We start from the raw sequence: 24,361 nt of genomic DNA on the forward strand, positions 1-24,361 counted from the left end.
TATGTATATCTGTGTGTATATTATATTATGATGTATACATGTAAGTATATACTTGACAACATTCAAACAGGCTTTGAGAAACTTTGATTCTCTGTGTAGTGACAGGGTTCGGGATAGGGTACCCCAAAATCTAGCACCTTGGCATTTAGGAAAACAGCAGAAGCAGGACAGTCTCTCTGACCTCCTGTCCGCCCTCCCCTGAAATGTAGCATAGAAACTGGACTCCCCCTCCTCTCTTCTCCCCCAGTGCAAGCCATAAAACCTAGCTGATCTTCTCCTGAAGTAGGTCATGAGACCCCCATTCCAAAGGGGTCCTCCCTATACCAAGAGGAAATAAATGCCTGAAGACACAGAGGCACATAAAAGAATCTGAACAGGCCTTGATAATTCCCCCCAGATTATTATTATTATTAGGTCTTATCCTTCATCCTCCAATCACACTTTTGCATGACTATCCATAAAAATGCACCGGGTTTCCTGTTTCTTTGGGTCTTCGTTTCTGAAGGCGCTTGTACCACATGAAGCTTATATTAAATAAACGTGTATGCTTTTCTCTCATTAACCCATCTTTGGTTATAGAGGCCTCTCAGCCATAAGCCTTGTGGTGGGTGAGGAAAAAGATATTACTTTTATCCCCTACCATAGCTAAGTTTTAAAAGAATATTCTAGAGAGGTCTAATTATGGTTTAACAAATTAGGACAGTATAGGTCAGTTTCAGTTCACTGTTGGCTGGGATTCCAGTGTTTTCATTATGCCCTGGCTTTATTTTTATAGTAATAATCAGGAAATCATTTAACCCAGATATTAGCCAAATGTCTCATCAAAGAAAATATTTTTGCTCAGATAGCTTTGCCTTTATCATTACTCTCTCCTTTTTATGAAAGTACCATTCAGTTTACATTAAAGATGTAAGATATAACAGACAGGAATAAGAAAAGGGGCAACTCTGGGACAGAGAAATGTTGAGATTTGTCCCAAGCATTGTTCAGGCAACACTACTCTGCAAATAAGCCCTTTCAAGACCCCAGTGCACCAGGCATTCTGCACACTTTCACATCCAAATCAATTCTAGTCTATGCCATATACCTACACAATTCAAGTTCTCATCGTCGTATTGGTAAAACAAATAGTCCATGGTATTTGAGACTCAGATATAAAAACCATTCTATATAAAATGATGACAAGTAACATGAAGAATAAGGCAATATTATATTCTTGAATTTGTAGTCATGGAATCACTCTAACTGTCCTCGTATCAAGAGAATGCTGCTGGAAGGAAATGTGGCAGTGTGAGGTAGCAGAAAGTACACTGGCTTTGGCGACAAGTTCCCAGAGTTAGCGTTCCTTCACTCCCCCCACCCGACCCCTGTTCCCTGACACTTGCTGTGTGACCTTGAATAAGTTATTTCATCTCTCTGACTTTTTCCTTGTATGTAAATTGAAGGTATGAAAATATCTATTTATCCTATTCAAGATTTTTGTGAAGATCAAAGGAAACAATCCAGTTAAATGCCTTTTGGAAATTATAAAGCATCAATAAATATCATTGTTGCTGCTTTCACTATGATTTACAAGGCTAAGAATTCTTGTACCCTGACTAGATAGATTTAGATTTGCTTAGAAGGACGTGTTTCCTATAAAATGCATGCTTGGTCTTCCTTCAGACACTAAACCGACGCCATAATACAAGCTCATGCATTTAACTGTCGTTTCCACATAAGGTTTATTTGGGACTCATACCATCAGATCCCCTTGCCTTATGAGATGCTCAAAACACCTTTATCTATCCTAAAAATTAGAATTTCAGAAGCCATTGTGTTGTTCTCCAGGCCTAAGTACACTTTTTTCACTTATCAAAGAAAGATTATACAGCCAGAATAATTCGTATATTGCTGCCTCTTTAAGACATCTATTCATTGCTCCTGGCTTGTATTGAAACCAGATGGTAAAACCAAGACTGGAACATCCTTTGGTGTCCAGAAGGAGGCCAGTCTGGCCAAAGCATTGTCATTCCTGTCAGCAACCAGAGTCAAAAGCATTTTTATAGTTAATCATCAGGAGTGCCTACTGGCTCCAACAGGCATTCATGCAGTATTTGTCAGCGTGAAGGCTCTGTCCACACTACAGATGACACCATGTCGGCGAGAACTGTGTTTCAATATCCTTTAGCAATGAGCTGAGCAAATTTTCATGGCTGATTCCCAAAGCAAACCATAATATAAAATTTAGTGCCGGACTTCTTTTTTTACCAAATTGAGTGGATAATAATACCTTTTATTTCTAAAAACTAACCCCTCACATCAAGTTTGCCCTGGAGCATTCATTAAAACTCAGGAAGTTAAACAACTGCAGCAAATTACCACAGATAACTTTAAAGAAATTAACCCACCTTAAAACGAACTTTTATTTCAAAAGATGTGAAGCTGCAGTTTTAGACTCTGAGGGGCCTAAGTAATTTCATGGATGACAGCCGACTAGTAAAAATCCTGTCTCCACCTACAGTTGCAATAATCATTTGCAGCAAAGAGATGGTGAATACAAAAATAACATAATTGGGACAAATGCACTATGCTTTGGAGTTAAAATAGAGGAGTTTTCGTGGCCACAGAAAAGGAAGGCATTGAATAATAACACTTTAAAACATGTCGAGGGGGTGAACTGATCAGGCCTTGTATGTAGCTGATGGAGGCTATTCATCTTTCAAGTACTATCAAGAAGCAAATCCGGATATCTGGAAAGGAACATCCAAAAATGGCTTTTCCACTTCACAATAGAGGCTTGTCACCATATCAGAGTGACTCAGATGAATATTTCATATGAAAGATTCAGGTAAAGAAATTTGAAGGAGATGCTTGGGGCAGCAGAACTCAATTGCAATTACATACTAAAATATTGCAAGAGGATCTAACACAGATATGATTTCTTTATATGATGGAATTGTACAAGCAAAACAGTGTTTAGGACACAAACCACAGAAATTTCAGGTTGTAACTGATGAATACTTGCAGAAGCTAGAATCCCATAATACTGAAGCTATTCTGCCTTCCATGGTATCTATATAGTGCTTATAATTCATGGTTTTTTCACCAAGCAAAGTAAGATGAGATTTATAATGGCAACCCTAATATTCTCTAGTTCATGGAAGTTAAGATACCTGATGCAATGCAGATTGATTTGTTTTGGGTTGATAACATTTGAAATGTGATGATCAATGTCATTTATCTTCCTCTGTTTAAAAATGTTGCAGAAATTACCTAAGATATGTGGATGCTGATGGGAGCTTGCTGATTTGGTTTGGTCTTCATTGTTTCTGAACGAAGAGTGACTATTTTATCACAAGTAAACCCATGGTTGTCATCTGTAATGCTCTCTATTATTTTTGAGTTTTTACACTGAGAATATGTTATAACAGCCATCTAAAAGGACAGAAGAAATTTAAAATTAGGCATTTTAGTCATAAATCCTGTGAACAGGAATTATTTAATAGCCTCTGCTATTTTGAAAGGGCAGCAATTGAAAAAAAACATTTTAGAAAAAGAAACAATCTAAAAAATTTAGTCAGATTTTTGTTTACAAACTGTTGTGTTATGGCTTGTCCCGTGTGAAGTTTAAGAAAAATAGTACCACACATCTTAAAAAACCAAACACCACAGTAGAGAGCAATAATGTAGAATATAGTACAAAGGTTTATTTCCAAGAGCCCACTGCCTAATTTAAATGTCTTTTGACTGGCCAATCATTTTCACTGGTATGCCAAAATGACTGGAAACAAGCTTCCTCTAACCCCTCACTCTAGTTATTAACTGAGCCAATCAGAAAAAAAAAGACCGATTTTTAATCTACACAGTAAACAGGTTCATACATTTAAAGAAACATGGCTCTCTTAGCTGCCCTTTGTTAGATTAGAGAAAAGAAATCTATTTCATCCTCAAGGAAAAGTTATTTCCTTTGTTTTCTGACATATAAAATGAACTATAAACAGCTTTACCGTAATAAATTAAAATGTCCTAAAAATCATCCCAATACTATAAGAGATTTTTATTCATTAACCATGACTAAAAGACATTCAATGATGAAAGCTATATTAGGCTAAAAAATATTGTTCAGAAAGGAGTTGCAGGATTCTGTCCTTTTTTTACTCCACGTATTATATAAAAGGAGAGCTGAAAATCATCTGGAAATAATTTTTAAGCATTTTAAACAGGGCCCCTGATATTAATTTTCTCCTCACATTTATATTAAGAAGCTAATAAAATATGGATTACATAAAGTCAAAAGATCCATATAAGCCTTCACTTGTTATATAAAGGGCCAGAACCTTATGTAATATGCATTTTCTTACTAATTCTTCAAATTTTAAATGCTTTGTGTGATAACGAGGAATACTGAATAATGGGGTTTAAATGTTTCTAAAAACTGAATATGCACAGAGCGTTTGAGCTACTATTGCCAGTAGTTTGGTGACATCTAGTGGAAATAGCGACTTCAGCCTACCTTCCTGAGTTAACTTTAAATCCTATAGCAAAGGGAAAGTGTTTAGAAGATGGCTAAATCATCAATTCCCTACCTTCTTTGCTAAGTAACAAGAGTGAGCGAATTTAGCTAAGCCTTCTGAAGAAAAATAAAATCCACCCCAATTACTGTGAACAAATCTGTTCTAATTATAAAATACACGGTCTTTGTAAAGAATTTGGAATACGCAAAAACATACAAGAAAATAAAATTATCCATAATCCTTCCACCCGCAAGTAAACACCAGTGATATTGTATGTCTTTTCTTCTAAGCTTCATAATATATTCTTGTTGGTGTTGTTTTTTTTACTAAGTTTGGTTATTATAAATATATAATTTTATATCCTAATTTTTTTAACATTATGTGAGCAGTTTTTGTATTTATCAGGTATGAAAAATAATCTTAGTTATGAGAGGCAGAGAACTATATCATCACTTATTTTTCAAAGTAGGATGCAGCAAGCCAACAATTCTGTGAATCCTGTATGGCAATCCATGAATGATAGAAAAACATGGTTCCAATAAAGTTCTTTTATTAGCACAATACACAAAAAGACCATGTTATTTATAGAAATGTTAAAAATGTGTTTTACATCTACAAAATTTTAAGGACTTACTATATTATCAGACACTAAGGGTATCGTAAATGAGTGAGACCCAGACCTTACCGTAAGACACGAGTAGTCTGATAGGGAAGATTTAAATATTGTTTAAGACAATGGAATTATGATCAGCCTGTGAACTGTAACAAAGGAGGGAGGTATTTAGAGAATAGGTAAATGGAAAATCTTCAAACAGAAGATAATGCCTGTGTAGGACTTGGAAAAGTGAGTAAGAATGAAGGGTGTTTCACATAGAAGAAAGCCTAGACGAAAACAAGAAGCATGGAATGGCCTGGTGTAGGCTGGTATCCCTGGAGAAAAGTCATCACTTCAGAAGATGTGACTAGAAAGGTGAGCAGAAGCAGATGGCTGAAGATCTTTATCATGGAGGTTATGAAAACCCACTAAAACTTCTTTTTTAGTAACATGATTACATTAGCATTTTATAAAATCATGCTGACTGAAGTGTGGAAAATGAACAGCAGAGGAAAAGACCAGCCAGTGGGCTGTTGTAGCAATTCAGGGGGGAGACAGTAAGGCCTGGACTAAGAAAAAGCAATGAATTCAAACAGAAGACCAGAGAGCAGAAGGCTGTTTAAGAGGGGACAATCGCACAATTCAAATATGCTGGATGATGGAGGAGGTACCAAGGATGACCCTAGTTCTGGTATAGGGGATTGATGTCTAGAATAGCATTCAGACAATTATTAGCTAAATGTTTATGATTTTTAGATTATGTGCTGCAATACAGTTTAGGATTGGACAAATCCTAATTTATTTTACCATCATATGATAAATATTAGGGAAAGGGGTGTGAACAACTTATAACACCAGTCCTAGTTACTAAGCATTTTCTTTGGCATAGAGGTCAAAGAAAAAGAAAATCTGGCATGGTCTCACCACCCTGATGAGAAAAAAAAAAAATGCCTCTACTGTAGGCACCGAGTGGTTAACGTCTCTAATTGGCCTTAGCACAGTGCCAAGACTCAGGGGGTAAGAAGAGTGCTAAAGAGGTTGGAGACATAATCAAGGAGATTCAAAAGAAAAACTAATTTCAGCTGTCACTGAGCTTTGTCTATATAGAGTGTCATTAGAAAGAGTAAATGACCTGCTGAACTCTTTGGTATTGAGAACACATTTCTAAAATGTGGAGAAAATCAAAATTACATCACTCAAAGGCTGTCTCTATATGCCTCTGTGCACCTACATACATAAAAAGTGAAGAAGAGAGAGAGCTTGTACAGCATGCAACCTGGAGACCTGAATTCCCTGAGTAATGGTTACTAGTGATCTAATTCACTAAGTCAACAAGAACTATGTATCGTGCCCTTGCCATGTGCCCAGTGCACCTTGCTGCCAGGCAGTGGACATTTTCGGCTACCACTGATGGAGTGCTCACTTTGGGCTAAGTGCTTAACAAACATTATCCAGCTTAATCCTTTCAACGGCCTATGAGTTTGACCTCATGATGCTTAGGGAGGTTAAGCCATTTGTCCAGGGTCACTCAGCCAGTAAGCGGAGAAGCTAGGGTTCAAACTCTGCTTTCTTCTGACTCAGAGCTGTACTTTTAACCATTACACTATCCTGGGTCACTGTTCTTTTGTTTTCTTTTTAAAAATCATTTTTCTTACATTGCGCTGTTATTTACTATTCCACGAACACAAAGAACCATGCATGGCACTAGCTGAATCTTAATATCGATACAGAGTTCCATCCCAACTTCAGACTTGTGGCTCCACAACTGACTAGGCAGCGTGCTCCTATTTTGTTTCAGGGCATGCAGAGCTGGTATGTGAGAGACAGGTGGCAGCCAGTTGCTATGGCAATTGCCTGTCATTAATGATAAAGGGTAATTACTGCAGCAAATTTCTGTTTCGCTTGAAAATGTGACTTGCCCCTTCCCCAAAGGGAGCACAACCCTTTATACCCTCTCTACTCACCACGGCCTATCATCTTGTATAAGCTTTACCTAGACCACTTGGCTTTGCTGCAAGGAGCTAAGTAAAGCCTGACTTCTTAAAGATTCAGGAGAAGAAATATTAGATGAGTCACAGAACAAAAAAGGCTCAGAAGATACACATTTTCCTCCTCTACAGACTGTCTAAACTTGCTTTCCCTTAATTAAGTTTGCAGGAAATAATCCCAAGTATTGCACATTTGTGGACCAAGTTCAATGACTGCTTGAATGGCCATATGTGGTCAATTACTAGATGCTAAGACTGCAAGACCACGTAATTTTTTTTTAGATGATGAATTTTTTTTATACTTTAAGTTCTAGGGTACATGTGCACAACGTGCAGGTTTGCTACATATGTATACATGTGCCATGTTGGTTTGCTGCACCCATTAACTCATCATTTACATTAGGTATATCTCCTAATGCTATCCCTCCCTGCTCCCCGCACCCCACGACAGGCCCCGGTGTGGGATGTTCCCCACCCTGTGTCCAAGTGTTCTCATTGTTCAATTCCCACCTATGAGTGAGAACATGCGAAGACCACATAATATTTTCAAACTGACTTACAGAACTATAAATCTGTGTCTCAGTATGATTTTCAAATCTTTCCAAGCCAGCTAATAACCCTTTTGATGGTAGAAACTGTGCTTTGTATGGCAGGGGCAATATGGAATGAAAAATTTCATTAGTACCTTTTAATTCAGTGTTCTATATGAGTTTAAATAGGAAAACTTCTCTCCATAGTAGGTTACACATTATGGTAGGTAAATATTGTCATAAAATAAATGCAAAGTAAACAGCCAAGAAGCTGGAAAGCAACACAAAATCAAACACCTGTTAGTCTCTCGTTTCTTTCCACCCCTAAACTTGGGGTCCAAGTATGTCTCCTGCCTTAAGTTTCTTTTGAAATGCAACCCATAACTGCTTGGCACACTGATGATGGATCCCCAGGAACTGTTCCTACAAACAGGAGGTCTAGTGATGGCACTAAGTTCTGTCTCATAATCATCTTTTTCTTTTTCAATCTAGCTCCCACTTATATTCAATATCTAGCTCACAGAGAAGTAGACAACCTTTTGATCCAAAATAATGGTGCATTCTCCACAAGACTATGTGCTATTCCTTGGAGACTAATGTGCCAACATATCTAGAATCCTAGCCTCAGAGTTTGGCCTGTTAACTGGAGTTGCATTTTGTTCTGTCAAAACTTTTTTATGTGGCCACAGAGACACTGTAGCAGAGAAAGTTTGGGCAGAAAACAGTCCAAGGGGTGGCTCACCTATATGTGCTGTGCAACAAAGGTGGGAAAGGGGGAGGGTTCACTAGTATTTGTCATCCCCAAAACTGTGATTGTGAGAATCATAGAGATTTCAAGCACCCTGGAGCCTATGGCATAAAGACCAGGCTTTTAACCTGGGAGCAAACATCTGTTTTGATCAAGATAGGATGGCTCTTTTTCATCTTTCAAGCCTGCAACTGACAGAAAGAAGAGTTACATTCAAAAAGCTATATTCAGCTCACCTATTGCATTTCTGTTCCATAGTACAGCAAATTAAAGGCAGGAAGTCTGGAGGAGAAGGAAAATTGGTAGCAGAATGGATGTGAAAGAGGAAATTGGAGTCAATAGGGTTTGAGATCAATCTTAGCCCATATGCACATCCTTGTTCAATAGGGCTATTACTACTCCAAACATTTGATTAGCTAATTTTTATGAAGGACGGGGGTATTTTTACCTGTTTTGTCCCCAAATATATCCCAAACCTTCTGAAGAGTGCCTGGCCTATGATAAACTCCTGATTAATATTTGTTGAATATATGGCAAAACCATTTTACTCTGTTTCCTGCCATTCTAATCCTTAAATCATTTTATCTTCGTTTCAGTTGGAATAACCAGAAAGGCCCATTAATAAGAGGAAGCAAGACCAAATAAAAACAGGCTGAAATGTAAGACATAGCCCTGATTTCCTTACCTGCTTCCAAGATTTAAGACTGAGGCTAGCAATTTCACTCCTGCAATGTGCTTTGTTAATTGAAACAAAAGATACAGGTCTTATTTCACAGGCCTTCCTCTAACAAGGGATGCTCTCTGAGACAAAGGGAGCGGGGCTCAGGAGGCTCCCATCAATTGGGAGGAAAGCTAGTGAAAGACATAGAGCTCTGAAGCACCTGAAGAATCCCTAGACTCTGTAACTACAGACCTCTAAAGAGCCCCCGCCCCACCCCCAGGATTTAGGAGGAACTGGACACAATAGTTACTTCCTCTGAATTTATCCTTTCCCTTTCATCTTCCCATTGACAACAGGCTAGCTTCATCAAAGAGGAAAATCACACGTGGCTGGCCCTGTTTCCCAGTAAACTTCCTCTCCCTCAGCCTTACCCTTATTATAGTGTTCATTCTCAACCAAGGACAAATTTCCCCTACTCCTAGGAGACACTTGGCAATGCCTGGAGATATGTTTGGTTGTGACAGCTGGGGTGGCGGTGGGGAGGAGGAGGGATGCTACTGGCATCTAGTGGATTGAGGACAGGGATGTTACTGAACATCCTATAGTGCACAGGACTATAATAGCCCCCAAACAATGAATTATCTGACCCAAAATGTTCCTAGTGATGAGGTTGACAGACCCTATTCTCCATTACCAGGTACTGTGTGTCAGATGCTAATGCCAAATACTTTCCACATGCTTAATCTCATTTAATCCTCACAGGATGATTGAGGCCTCATAAGAAGTTGTGAAGTGAATTTTATTATTATCTTCATTTTACAGATGAAGAAAATAGAGGCTTACAGAGTTTAAGTAATTTGTCCCAAAGTCACACAGCCCATGATGGGGAGCCTGTCACTATACCCAGAACAACCTGGCTCTGAAGCCACACATTACTGCCCCTCTAACTTTTTTAAATGTATTTGTAGAGACAAGGTCTTGCTATGTTGCCCACGCTGGTCTTGAACTCCTGGCCTGGCCTCAAGCAATCCTCCTGCTTCTACTTCCCAAAGCCTCCCACATCGGCTCACAGGTGGGAGCCACTGCACTTGGCCTAGTTCACATTTTAAAAGTAATAGCCCTTGTAATAACAATGGGTGCATAGCCCTTGCTTTATGCCAGGGACTGTTATAAGTGCTTCCCTTCATATGTATTAACACACTAAATCCTCCAATCATATGAGGCAGGTATTAATGTTACCCACATTATACAGATGAGGAAACTGAGGTTTAGAGAGGTGAGGTCACACAGCAGCAAAGTGCAGACCTGGGATCTGGATGCAAGTCTGACTCCAGTTTCTGTAATCCTTCTTAGCCACTATTCTATTTTGCCTAGCACACCTACAAAGCTGGGGAAATGGCCAGATAAGCCTCTCAGTGGAATGTGACCCATCCTCCTTCACACCTGTACCTCATATATGTTAGTGGGAGCTAGTCTTCGCTCCCTTTGCTATTCTCTGTAGAGCTGGCTGCCAAGACCTCGGTAGATCATGATACTGAAAGTATGGAGATCAGAAATAAACTCCTCTAGCTTAACTAGCCCCTGAAGGCAAACCAGCATCACCCTCACTTACTGCTTTGAAATTCTCTTTCATTGTTTGCATAAAATTTCCTTTTATTAAGTGTAAGATTTGAAAAGGTTTTCAAATAATTACTACAGTTAGTCTAAATGTAGAAAAGCTAAAAGGAAAACTGTTTGCAATTAGGATTTGCATAATTTCTTTAAAACTGCCTAAGTCATCTACATTTGCAGCTAAAAGCAGGGCAGTATATTGGATGAAACAAAATGGTGAAAGCCATTTGCCTGACCTTTGACATTTCTTTTAAAAATACCTCAACTTGTTATAGGAACCCAAGTAATTAAACATTTAAGCCCTTTTTTGGAGAATTTTTATTAATTAAAAAAATTTCTTACATCTCATGTGAACTTTACAAAAGGACGAAGGTTAATTTGTGGGTTTTCAGACATGAGTCAGTATATCTTGTGAATCATTTTTCCTCATAGAGGGCCCTCATAATTTCTCAAATTCCATCAGAAAAATACTTAATTTCTCTCACTTAAAAAAACACAGGTTTTATGGGTACCTATATATAACTGTAAATTTACATAAATATATACATCGCCTACTGCCAATTAGTACGCATTTATGAACAGTGCTCAATAACCCTGTTGATAAGTGAAAGTACATCAGTGATGAGATGTCTCTGGGAAACCAATGGGAATCTCAGCAAGTATTTAACTTAAGAGTAGGTGGAGGAGACTCATTACTGGCCTGGCTTGTTGCCTTGTTCTGTTTGAAACCTCGATTAAAGAAATAACAAACATGGAATGCTAATTAAACTGTTTGACCAATTTCAATAAACAAGCAGTCTAATTTGGGGAGTGCAGAGAGGGGATAAAACACTATGGCTCTGCTATTCGTTTTCTTACACCAGTTCTTTGATTCCTGCTACAAGAGTTCATGTCCCCAAAGGCCTCCAGATCAGCAGGGTAGCTGATTCTAGGGTAAAGAGAGAGAGAAAATGTGTCAACTTGGTGAAGCTCACCACAAGCTACAGCTTGCAGGACTCCCTGAGATCACAGCCCATGATTGCAGCCTGTCCTGCTCACGGACTGTCACCTAGTACAGCATGTTATAAGCAGTGAAGAATGTGTTTAAGTATAAATAGCTTTGCCCGGCTTGAGCAAGCAAAACTGTTCCTTTAGTTCAGTGCACACACAGCTTGGAGGCCAGTGTCCTGGGCATACCAGTTGTATCTCCACATAAAATGAATGTCGGCAATGCCCTAGTATATAATATTGTCTATTAGACAGTGCATAAAGGCCTGCACTGTGTGTACATACCGTAGCCACACAGAAAACATTACCAAATGAGCCTGCTTTTAGCCTACTGCCTCATACGGTGGTAATGAAGGAGAACTGCCTTTTGATTTGCAACTATTTGCTGTTCTGTAGGAAAAACAGAGCTTAGACCATCTTGTTCCATTTGTTGTTGCCATGCTTAATCTTCTGATTCATGAGAAATTATTACACCCAGCACCTATGGGGAATTTAATTGTTTGGCTCCTACTCCTCTGGCAAATGTAATTGTGGAGGAGGATGTATAGATTAACATTTTTTAAAAGCTTCAGCCAAGAAAAAATAAATAAAAGGAGGTGGAGTTTTTTGTAAAACCTCATACTGAATAACATCCAGGGTTGAAATAATGCCAGAACTGAGCTTAAGAGAAAACATCAATACCTAAACGGGAGGTCAAACCAAGGCCACGCGGCCCAGAAGTTTGATCCCATCACCATTAACTTGGACATCAGCACACCCCATCTATCTCATGGATATTTGTAGATAACTGGAATACATTTTCCAAGTGTGGATAAAAATATAAGATGAAGTGGTTTTGTGCATTTCTTAAGTCTGTTTTCATCGCTTTTTAATGCTAAAGCTCCAGTGTAGGGGCCAAGGGAAAATTGCCCCTTTGCCCTCTGAAGCATCGCTGAAAAATCAACTCAAAAAGACAAATTAGGCAGGGCGCGGTGGCTCACGCCTGTAATCCTAGCACTTTGGGAGGCCGAGGCAGGCGGACCACAAGGTCAGGAGATCGAGACCATCCTGCCTAACACAGTGAAACCCCATCTCTACTAAAAATACAAAAAATTAGCCAAGCATGGTGCCACGTACCTGTAGTTCCCGCTACTCAGGAGGCTGAGGCGAGAGAATCGCTTGAACCCAGGACGCGAAGGTTGCAGTGAGCCCAGATCATGCCACTGCACTCCAGCCTGGGTGACAGAGCGAGACTCCATCTCAGAAGAAAAGACAAATTAATAGGAAAAAAAGGCATACAGATTTATTTAATGTGTATACACAGGAAACTTCAGAATGAAGACCCAAAGATACAGGGGAAATCATCCATTTTTACAGTTAAATTCAACAAAATATAGACAGCCATGTAGAAATATGACTGGACAAAAGGGGTATGATCTAAAGCTAATAGGCTGAGAGGGAAAACACAGCAAAGCCTGTGTGTTCGGATTCGTCCTGGCCTCTCTGAGCAGCATTCCTTCCTTCTGGGTGTGGGGCAGGACCCTCTCTAGAGCGAGGGTCTTATCACCTACAGTCAAAGGAGGTAGGTCAGATAATTTATTTATGGCCAGTTTTTACACAGAAAGGCAGAGGAAAAGTTAGAGTAATATTTTCAGGTTTTATGACTGGCTTTGGGAAAAAGGGGTTCTGGTTTCCATGCCTGCATTGGGGAAGAGGGATTCTAGTTTCTATAGCTAGCCTTAGGGAAGAATAGGACTGAGAGACAGGCAGGCAGGAGCAGAAGGTCCAAGAAAAACTTCTGCTTCTGAAATTGCTTCTGAGACCCTTAGTTTGGGGTATTGTTTTCTGAGCCCCACCAGCAGGAAAGACCTGATACTTCATATTGTGTCAATAAACTTTTGGGTGCTGCTAAGTTATGCAGACAGATGGATGAGTGCTACAGCAGACATCTTAAGCCCCACCCATGTTCCTGGGATGCTTGCATTTTAGCAGCAGGTTTACAGCTGCCAGGGTCAGTACCTCTGTACCTGGCAACTTTCTGGAGCTGTGGCAGACCCTGTTGCCTATAGTAACAGGACAATGACTCTCTCAGGAGTCAGTGAATAACTGCCCCAGCTCCCTCACCCATTAGGAAAGATCATTTGCACATTTGACTTTTATCCTTTCCCAGAGTGTCACCACAGGATTTAGCTCCAGTTGCCCATGGCGGTAGCTGGCTTATTACCACCATTTTTATTGGCTCCCTTTCCTTCCTTTAATCACCTCCCTATTCCTCTACAGATACTCCCTGCATCTGGAATCTTTGTCTCAGGATCTACTTCTGGGAGACCCCAAATAAAGATAGGTATTATCCCTCAAAGACCGCACAATCTGATGAGGAAGATGAGATTATAAAAGGACAGGAAAGGAGATGAAATAGCTACATCAATTGTATGGTAAATGTAATTATGTGGGTCAGAGACACCACACCCCAAGAAATGTGGTGTTTTCTTTGTTTATTATCTCTCTCCCTAGGCAAGCCCATATAATTTGTTTATTCAACAAATATTCATTGCATGCCTACTACCTGCAAGGCAATAGCAACAAACCAAAAAGTCCCAACTTACATGGCATATATATGTATAAACTCCCAGGTCATGTGGTAGTAAGTGTTGCAAAGAAAAATAAAGCAGGTGTATTTGCCTGGTTGGGCCACCATAATAAGATAACACAGACTGCGTGGTTTAAGAAACAGAGTTTTTTGTTTTTTGTTTTTTTTGTTTTGTTTTGTTTTGTTTTGTTTTTCTCACAGTTCTAGAAGCTAGAAGTCCAAGATCAAGGTGCCACCAGAGTTGGTTTCTGGTGAGGCCTCTCTTCCTGGCTTGTAGGTGACTGCCTGCTCACTGTGTCATTGCATGACCTCTTCTCTGTAAAGAGAGAGACCTCTCTGGTGTCTATTCTTCTTCTAATCACACTAATCCTATTGAAGTAGCCCCCCACCTTTGTGACCTCATTCAACCTTTATTACTTCCTTCTAGGCCCTATCTCTAAATACAGTCACACTGTGGGTTAGGGTTTCCTTATATGAATTTGGGGATGACACAATTCAGTTCATAAGACAAGGTAAAGGCAAAAGTAACCATAGAAATTAAGCTTATAATCTTCAAACCAATGAGGAATTTAGCTCTAACATTTATTCAGTATCTGCTTGGAACGCATGTGGCTGGGCAGTAGTTGACTACTGTCTTTGGTCTGAATTTTAATAGGATAAAATTTTTAATCATGACTCCAAAGGGATTTTATGAATGAAAATGCCTTCCATTCCATTTCTATCTCTATGGTTTGCCTTTCTCATGTTGCTATGATCTGCATGATAAAGTTACTTGTATATAAAGTCTTCAGTTGATAGTAGAAGCAGCTAATTTTAAATCTTTAAATGAATGTTCCTAAGCAGAAGGAATGAGTAAAACCATGGTGTGGAAACCCTAAACCAATCCATAGGAGAGCAGAGGGGTCTTTGAAGCTGCTATGCCAAGTATTGATGGGCTTCAGAGAACTTTTAGAAGAAGAAAAAGTTTAATTGTTAAGCTGTTTTCAAGGCCTGCCTGCTTTCTCCAGAATATGCTGGGCTCTCCTTCAAACATGCACAACATGACCAAATCAGGGAGCTGTATATAGATCACACACACTTCCCTCCTGCTCCCCACAAAAAAGACAGTCCATGCCTTCAGTATAATTATAGGGTACAAGTAATTAAGGTTTTGTTAACTACCAGCTCTTTTTGCAAAACCTATCAAATATCAGAGACAGTATAATGCTGTAATTGCATCTATGAACCTGTGTAACATTTGGACAAAGAGTTCTAAAGGTCAAGGTATATAATACACATCTAATATATTTCTCTGATGAACCTAAAATGTTTAGTATGATGTGAAATGAAGCTAAGCACAGAACATGTGTTTCTATATGAGATGTTCTTTTCTTTAGCTATTATCAAATACTATTTTCAAAGAATTTTTATCATGTACTTGCAATTTTACTTATTGAAATTACAGAAGGATTTCATTGAACATATACTTGGCTTAACCTTTAGGCAATAATGAATGGTATAAAAATCTCTGCTATGTTTTGCTATTGATATGGATCAAGACTCAGTTGATACTAATCAAACACAGGTTGCTTGGTCATATCAAGAAATGACCTCTTTAATGTTAGAGGGTCCCAAGGCTCAATAACTACATCTACAGGTTTTCATCCAGTCTTGGCTTTAAATCCCAGCTGTGATTCAATGACTGTCAAATTTACATCTTCAACACAGCCTTCAATCCTGAACTTAGGACTCATGTATCCAATTGTCTGCTTGATATCCCCACTTGAACATCTATTAGTTATCTCAAGGTCAACGGCTTCAAAACTGAGCTTCCTGATTTTATTCCATCAAATCTGTCCTACCCATAGCATTCCCCATTCCAGTCAATGGTAGTTCCAACCTCCCAGTGGCTCAAACCAAAAATCTGTGAGTTTTTACTCCTTTTTTCACATACCACATCAAATCCACTAGCAAATCATATTGGTTTTACCTTCACAACATATGCAAAATCCAACCTTTTCTTCCCTTCTCTACTGTTACTACCCTGGTCCAAGTCACGAAAATCCCATTCTTGAATTATTTCAATAGGCTTTCCTGTTTCCAGTTTTGACTGCCCTTTCTATTTTCACCACAACAGCCAAAGGAATCCTTTCAAATATGTCATATTATATCACTCATCTGCTTCTCATCTCACTCTGAATAAAATACAAAATTCCGTTATGGTCTTCAAGACTCTGCATGATAAGACCTTGAACCTCCTCTCTGCCTCACTCCATTCCGGTCATATTGGTCTCTTTGCTGTTCTTTTATCAGGCCTGGCAAGTTCCTTCATTAGGGCATTGGCCCTGCTGTGACTTTTGCCAAAAATTCTCTCACCTTAGATCCCTATGTGGCTGACTCCCTCATCTCCTACAAGCCTTTGCTCAAGAGTCACTGTCTCAGTGAGGCCTACCCTAACCACCCTGCTTGAAATTGCAACTCACAACACCTCTTCCTACATTCCTGCTGTTCTTTACTCCTCTGTTTTCTCTTTTATCACCTCCTACCCATTATACACTTTATTATTACATTTATTGTTTATTGTCCAGCTCACCCAGGCAGACTGCAAGGTCCATGAAGACAGAGAGCTTTCTCTGTTTTGTTCACTGCTGTATCCTAAGAACCTAGAACAGTGCTCAACACGCAGTAAATATCTGTTAAATTAATGCAATGCCTTCTTAGAGATTTCTTTGTCCAAGAAATATCACTAGGGTTTCATTATAAGAAAAACAAATCATCAAAGAGAAGGAACCACCTATGGTCACCACAAAATAATAATAATACATAATAAGAAGAAATCCAATCAAATAAAGTTTTAAATTTGAAAATGCTAACAATTTTATTTAATGATATGCTTGCTAGAAAAAATAATTTCTGAAACTTGGAAACTGGAAAAAGAAATGGGTATTATTTCAGTGCAAGGTTGTGCTTAATGTTATTGCCTGGATTATTTTCCAGTTCTGTAGGGGCAAAGGTTAAGGTATAGTGTTTTGTTTAATAAATGTACAAATCATTTCCGTCCAGTAGAACAAATGACCACAAAGACTTACAGTGCTGTTGGACATTAACTAATTCTGTATCCAACCCAGAAATCCATTAAATTTCTTATAGGCACCTATCTTCTCAAAGCTCTTTGGACTAAAATAACATCTTACTGGTTCCCTCATTACTTATGAGATAAATAAAATCTTTGACATCTGTTTATTCTACATATTCATAAGAGTCATGATTTACCCTCTTTGAAAATTATATTTTAACATATTCAATGAGCAGTTAATATTTTTAGTACTTGGGAACTATAGTGAAATATCTCAATATTTTAAAAATGAAAGAAGATTCTCAGAACATAAAACTCGACTATGTCGTGTTCATTAACACAAAGATTCAATGTGCTAAAGTCATCATTCTTTGTAAGTTAGTTCATAAATTTATTAGAATCCTAACAAAGCCCCAATCAAGTTTTTTATTTTTGTTTGTTTGATTTTTGAAACAATTCTAAAGTGTATTTGGAAAAAATAAAGAATAATAGTCAGGAAACCAATGAAAGAGAAGAGCTGAGGGAAGATTAGTCATACCAAATATTAAAACATATTTAAAAGCCTCAAATTAGAAGATATGATACCAACACATGAACAGATATGCCAATGGGACTAATAGAAATAGATCCAGATACATAAGGGAATTTAGCATAAGTTAAAATATAGCAAAAATGGCACCTCAACACTGTGGGTAAAAGATGGCCCATTGAATGAATGGAGCTGGAGTAAATTCTTGGGGAAAAATTATGCTGGATTCTTACCTTACGCTTTAAACCAAATAGATTCAAGATTTCACTGTAAAAGATTAAATCATATATATATATATAATGTATGTATTAGTCCATTCTCACGCTGCTATGAAGAAATACCTGAGACTGGATAATTTATAAAGGCAAGAGGTTCAATTGACTCACAGTTCTGCAGGGCTGGGGAGGCCTCACGGAACTTACAATCATGGCAGAAGTGGAGGCAAACACATCCTTCTTCACATGGCAGCACAAGAGAAAAGTGCTGAGCAAAAGGGAAAAAGGCCCCTTATAAAACCATCAGAGCTCGTGAGAACTCACTCACTATCACGAGAAAAGCGTGAGGGCAACCACTCCCATGATTCAATTACCTCCCACCGGTTCCCTCCCACAACACTTGGGGATTATGGAAACTACAATTCAAGATGAGATTTGGGTGGAGACAAAATCAAATCATATCAATATACTAGAAGAAAACCTAGGAGAATCCCTTTATGTCCTTGGAATAGCAAAGGCTTTGATAAGTATGACTCAAAATCCAGAAGCTCCTCCCCAAAATACTTGGCAAATTTAAGTACATGAAATGTTTTTAAAGTATATGCGTACTCTGTGTGTGTGTGTGTGTGTGTGTGTGTGTGTGTGTGTGTGTGTATTCCTCCCACATGTCAAATACCACGCACAGGTAGAAAGACAAGCAAGAAACTTGGAAGTTTCACCTCATTATCATAGATAAATGGGTAATCTCCCTCATATTTTTTAAACTCCCGTAAATCAATAAGAAAAAAATAACTCAATAGAAAAATAAGCCCAGTATAAGAACAGCCTGTTCACAGAAAAGAAAAATAAAATGCCTCAAATATCTATATTCAAATCAACTCTTTATAAAAAGATAAATGCAAAACAAAACTATGCTGAATATCACTTTTCACTTATTATATTGGCAAAAATCCAGACATTTGATAACAGTCAATTGGCTATGTGAACAAAAGGCACTTTTATACATCAGGAATATAACTAGGTATAACCCCTTTGTATAGGTTTCATGTTCTATGGAGAGTAATTTGACAACACCTGTCACAATTACCTGTATGTATCCTTTGACCCAGCAGTTCTTTTCTGGAATCTATCAATCTATCCTACAGATATATTTACATATATGCAAAATAGTGTCTGGAAAAGTTTTGAAACAACAGCATTTTTAGAATAGAAACAACTTAAATGCTCATCAGTAAAGACTGTTCAAAAAAATAAAGATCATGGTATAGCCAAACAATAGAACACTAGTGAACTGTAAAAGAATGAGGAAGTTTTGCAAGTATTAATATAGAAAGGTCTCTGAGATTTGGATGAAAAAGGCAAGTGGAATGTTCCCAATTTTGTGAAAAAAGAAGAAAAACAGAGAATTTCCTTACATTTGTTTTTTATATACAAAAAGATACTTTGTATTTTTAGTAGAGACGGGGTTTCACCGTGTTAGCCAGGATGGTCTCGATCTCCTGACCTCGTGATCTGCCCACCTCAGCCTCCCAAAGTGCTGGAATTACAGGCGTGAGCCACTGCAACCAGCCCAAAAAGATACTTTAAAGGGATTCATGAGAAACTATTAACAATGCATAATGGCCATGAACTGTGTCATTCAGATATGCTACTACAGGGAGCATCACTGGCTTATGGCCCCAGCCACCATCCCTCTGGATCTCTACCACTATATTTGTGCCAAGGCCAACGTCCCACAGGCTGCTCCTACACAATGACTAAGTAGGAGCACTAAGATTAGGGCACTAAGACAAACCCATCCCAGCAAACCAGGAAGCTTCTCTTATAAGAGACTCCCCATCATTATTAGCCCAGCTGACCTTTCTTGGAACTAGGCTGCAGTCTGACACTTCTATCCAATCCTATTTCCTTCTCTCTCCTTCCACAGGTTACAGACATACACATCTAATCCCATTTTGGTGGCTGCACCTCAGTGGGCCACAGGGGTGAGAGATGAGGCAGCTTTGAGAATGGCATTATTATTTTTGAACCACATATTATATAGTCAAAAATTTAATTTAAAATACTCTCTAGGGCCGGGCACGGGCTCACTCCTGTAATCCCAGCACTCTGGGAGGCCGAGGCAGGTGGATCACTTGAGGTCAGGAGTTCAAGACCAGCCTGGCCAACATGGTGAAACCCCTGTCTGTATTAAAATTCAAAAATTAGCCAGGTGTGGTGATGGGCTCCTGTAATCCCAGCTACTCGGGTCGCTGAGGCAGAAGAATTGCTTGAACTCGGGAGGCAGAGGTTGCAGTGAGCCAATATCATGCCACTGCACTCCACCCTGGGCAACAGAGTGAGACTCTGCCTCAAAAAATAAAATAAATAAAATACTCTCTAGCAGTGTTTTTCAAAGTGTTATCTATCCCAGGGTCTCCTGCAGCTAAGTCCTCTCCTGGGAGTCACTCCTGATCCACTAAAAAAGTATAACTCTTGGGGGTCCAGGAATCTTCATTTAAAGGTCCTAAGATAATACTGAAATACATAGTTAAAGGACCAGAGGGTTAAACTATAAGATGAGCATGAACTGGACCAAAATATAAACGTGTAAAGTGAACTGAAGGAACGAAATGGCCATTACACTTACATGTTGATTAAATTATGCAGCTCATCCTAAACAAAGAATATGTGGGATGGGTGAAAGCAAAACAAAGCAAAACTAGAAAGAAGGATCAAGCAGCCAAACATAACTTTTCCAAGCTTCTTCTAGGACAGAGGGAGCAATACTCAAAGGACCTCCAGTATTCTGGTTCCATTTATAAAACCAATTCTTCCCTAAGAAGGATAGCTCAGGCTATCTTCCTGCTTCCATTAAATATTAAATAAAACCTCATCCCATTTATTTGATTACCTGTCTCCAAGCGACTTTGTAATAATAATTTAGGTTTCCCACACAGTTCTGCCTATAGGAAGAGATTGATAGTTTCTAAAGAAAAAATACTCTATGATATCAGATAAGAGCATGAAAAACACTGTATTTTACACATAATTGAATTCATTCAAATTATGCTATTCTTTTAACTCACTATCCATTTCTAGAAATGCTTATATTTATTTCACTTTCATTCTCCTTTAATTGTCTGACCCATTATGTTCCAATCAAAACTAAATTCTAGGAAGTACTTGTGTACAGCCTTATTGTGAATCTTGTTTTGCCAAAATAGTGAATAGAAAACCAAGTCTTGTTAATTATAAATGCTGAGATCTCTATTTCTATTAAAGAATGCAAGACTATGAAGTTCACTGAGTTGTTAGAATTATTGCTTTAAAGTGGACATTATCTTTAATTATTTGGTATCATTGTGATGGGATGACAGAAAAAAATATAGGCACTCTTTTAAGACTATTTCTTTGATATAGTCGTGTGCCACATAACAAAGTTTCATCCAATCACAGATTACATATACCCTGATGGTCCCATAAGATTATAATGCTATATTTTTACTGTACATTTTCTATGCTTAGATAGACAAATATTTATCATTATGTTACAATGGCCTACAGTATTAAGTAGAGTAATATGCAAGCCTAGGAGCAATAGGCTATCCCATATAGTCTAGGTATGTAGTAGGCTATTATCATCTATGTTTGTGTGTGTGCATGCTATGATGTTCCCACAGTGACAAAACTGCCTAACGATGCATTTCTTGGAATGTGTCCTCATTGTTAAGTGAAAGTTTTCTATATGGTCTACATTCTGTGGGCTGACCTTAGTTAGTTATTGCATCTGCTTGCGAGTTTACAATTAATGGTCAATTTTTTTTAGTTGACTTTCCAGAATAACTAGCAAAGGCTAGCCACTCAGTTTTAACTTACTTTATTCTACAACTTAAAACATTGGTGTTGCCATACCTTGCACTTTGGCTCTACAAAAATGATAATATTTAATGTTTTCTTGAGCCTTTACTCCAAATCTTCAGAGGCTAAATGACCTGATTCCCTCTACAGGCAAGTGAAGATAAAAATGATGTGCTTTATTTTATAATTGATTCTAGATGGAAAGAGAAGAGAGAGAAAGAACTCAATATACTTTAAGTATGCTTTTCATTCTGAATATTTGCAAATGAAATCCGTGATGTAGAATGGAATTCCTATGAAAGCTCTGTTCTCATTATGTCTTTGGTTTGCCTGCTAGCTTCAGCTGTGTTACTTTTATTGCCGTTTTCAGCAAAAACTCAGAAGAGAAAGGATAGAAACTCAAACAGAATGACTAAATTGTAATACAAAGATAATGAACGCCAATGCAACAGGACAGCAAATTAGAAGCCTGGGAAGCTGTTAGCCATAAAAAAAAAAAAGAAGAAGAAGAAGAAAAGAAAAAGAGTTTTATTTCCACACTTTTGAGGCGTCCTTTGGAAACCAGAAAAACTTAACAATACAGTTAACCCAGTTACTGTCAGAGTGGTTCTACTTTCAAAAGAAAGCCAGGCTAACATTTTAAACAGCAATTACATTTCATGAAAAGGGAAGAAGAGGGAGTGAGAGGAACATCAAAACCCCAAAAAACATGATGATGACAAAACAATCAGAAAACAACTTAAGATCTCTATTCATCTCAGCTTTCTGAAATGAGCATTTCTAGTTCTTGGCACTCTATCAGTCTTGCAAGGACCTGGAGGGTGGTGGGGCAGGGTGGGTAGCACCAGTGGCTGCCAAAGGGATTCATATGTGAAACAGAAATTCTTGCTTCCCAAGATGAAGTAAAACAAGGGTCGTCCACCCAGTGAGGAACCAATGAAGTGAGTAAAGGCTCTTTTGTAGCCTTCTCAAGTGACTCCCCAGGAGTCTTAGAGAGAATGGCTCACCTTGAGCTTATCTAGGAGAGTTTTTCTAGAATAAGTTTTAATCTTCCAAGACACTAAATTAAGATCAAGATTCTTCTGAGTTTGTGGAAGTCATGATATGCCGGGGATTGATTACAAGTGGAGCATCTCAAAACAATAACAAGTAAATCAAACTCTGGGATAGGCTTTCAAAGCTGCAAAATCCAAATCAGTTTCCCCTGAATATTCCAAGTGATTTTTTGAGTTTCCAAAGAATTTTCCTCAAGAAAAAAAGCCTCAAAATCCTTAAGATGATCTTCACACATACTTCTGCCAAGATTTTAAATCTGATCAAATACATTTAATGAAGAAAATTACTTTTTATAGCAATTATCTTATTATCATAAAGGTGTTTTGAGAAAATTATTTATGAAACCTCTTTTTTTTTGTTTTAACCCGGCAAGCTAAACATCTTCCATTTATTTTTAAATGAAGTGAAAATTAGCCAGGTGTGTTAGATAAGCTTTCTATACACAGGTCTAAATATTGACAAAGGCAGATTTGTCACTGGAAAAATCATCAGTCTAGCAATTATCACGTTAGCATGTGAAGTGGAAAAAGATGTGAAACTTCCAAATGTGTCAATACAGATTATTTCATTTCCACTAGCTATCAGCTATACTGTGAACACCAGTTCTTTAATGTACACTGAGCAAGCAGTTCGGCTAAAGAAATTTCTCCTCTGTGCCTGAAAAAACTAAAATCACAAGGTAGAAGGTCTGGTGTGGAATCACATATGTTTCTAACTATTGTTTCAAATGACCTAAAAGAGGGGGATGGGGTACACATGATGACAAAAGTACTTTTCTGTATTGTTTGATTGTATAAGAACTGTATTTGGACTCCTCTTTCATTGGGTTATGTGAGTGTTTCTCTCAGTTCTCATCAGTCCCAACCCCACAGGCCTTTCAGGAACACCTGTAAAGTCCTATCACATTACTATACTGTGGCACGGGGAAAATACAGATTATCTCAGTAATAATTATCTTGTTGCACACTTTAGACTTCTATGGACTGCACTTGAAGGTGAGAGAGATTGCCACTAATTTTTGGTGTTAAGAAAGAAACAGGTGTACGTAAGAGTAAATTCAGGCAACATGAACATTCCTTTTTGTCATTAGAGGATTGAGTAACAAAGTAAGATAATGCCGTCCATGCTAGAACATTCCTAAATATATCCCTTGATGGATATATGCTCTCCCAAAATATGGCACCTTGGCATTTGAGGAAACAGCTGAAGCAAAAGTCTCTCTGAGGCCAAGGCAGGAGGATCACCTGAGGTTGGGAGCCCGAGACCAGCCTGGCCAACATGGTGAAACTCTGTCTCTACTAAAAATTAAAAAATTAGCTGGGCATGGTGGTGGGCATCTGTAGTCCCAGTTACTTGGGAGCCTGAGGCACAAGGATCGCTTGAACCTGGGAGGCAGAGGTTGCAGGAGCTGAGATCACGCCACTGCACTCCAGTCTGGGCAGCAGAGCCAGACTCCATCTCAAAGAAAAAAAAAAAGTCTC

At 38.4% G+C, this 24,361-nt stretch overlaps 2 long non-coding RNA genes across 4 annotated transcripts in view; both read right to left on the reverse strand.

The window, feature by feature from the left end:
* Positions 1–24,361, reverse strand: part of LOC112267868 (uncharacterized) — a 96,358-nt gene that overhangs the window by 60,956 nt on the left and 11,041 nt on the right. The gene's annotated exons all lie outside the window — the stretch shown is intronic.
* Positions 1–24,361, reverse strand: part of G2E3-AS1 (G2E3 antisense RNA 1) — a 139,366-nt gene that overhangs the window by 1,144 nt on the left and 113,861 nt on the right. The window lies entirely within an intron of this gene.

Source organism: Homo sapiens, chromosome 14, assembly GCF_000001405.40.
Source record: "Homo sapiens chromosome 14, GRCh38.p14 Primary Assembly".
In the NCBI taxonomy this organism is placed as follows: Eukaryota; Metazoa; Chordata; class Mammalia; order Primates; family Hominidae; genus Homo; species Homo sapiens.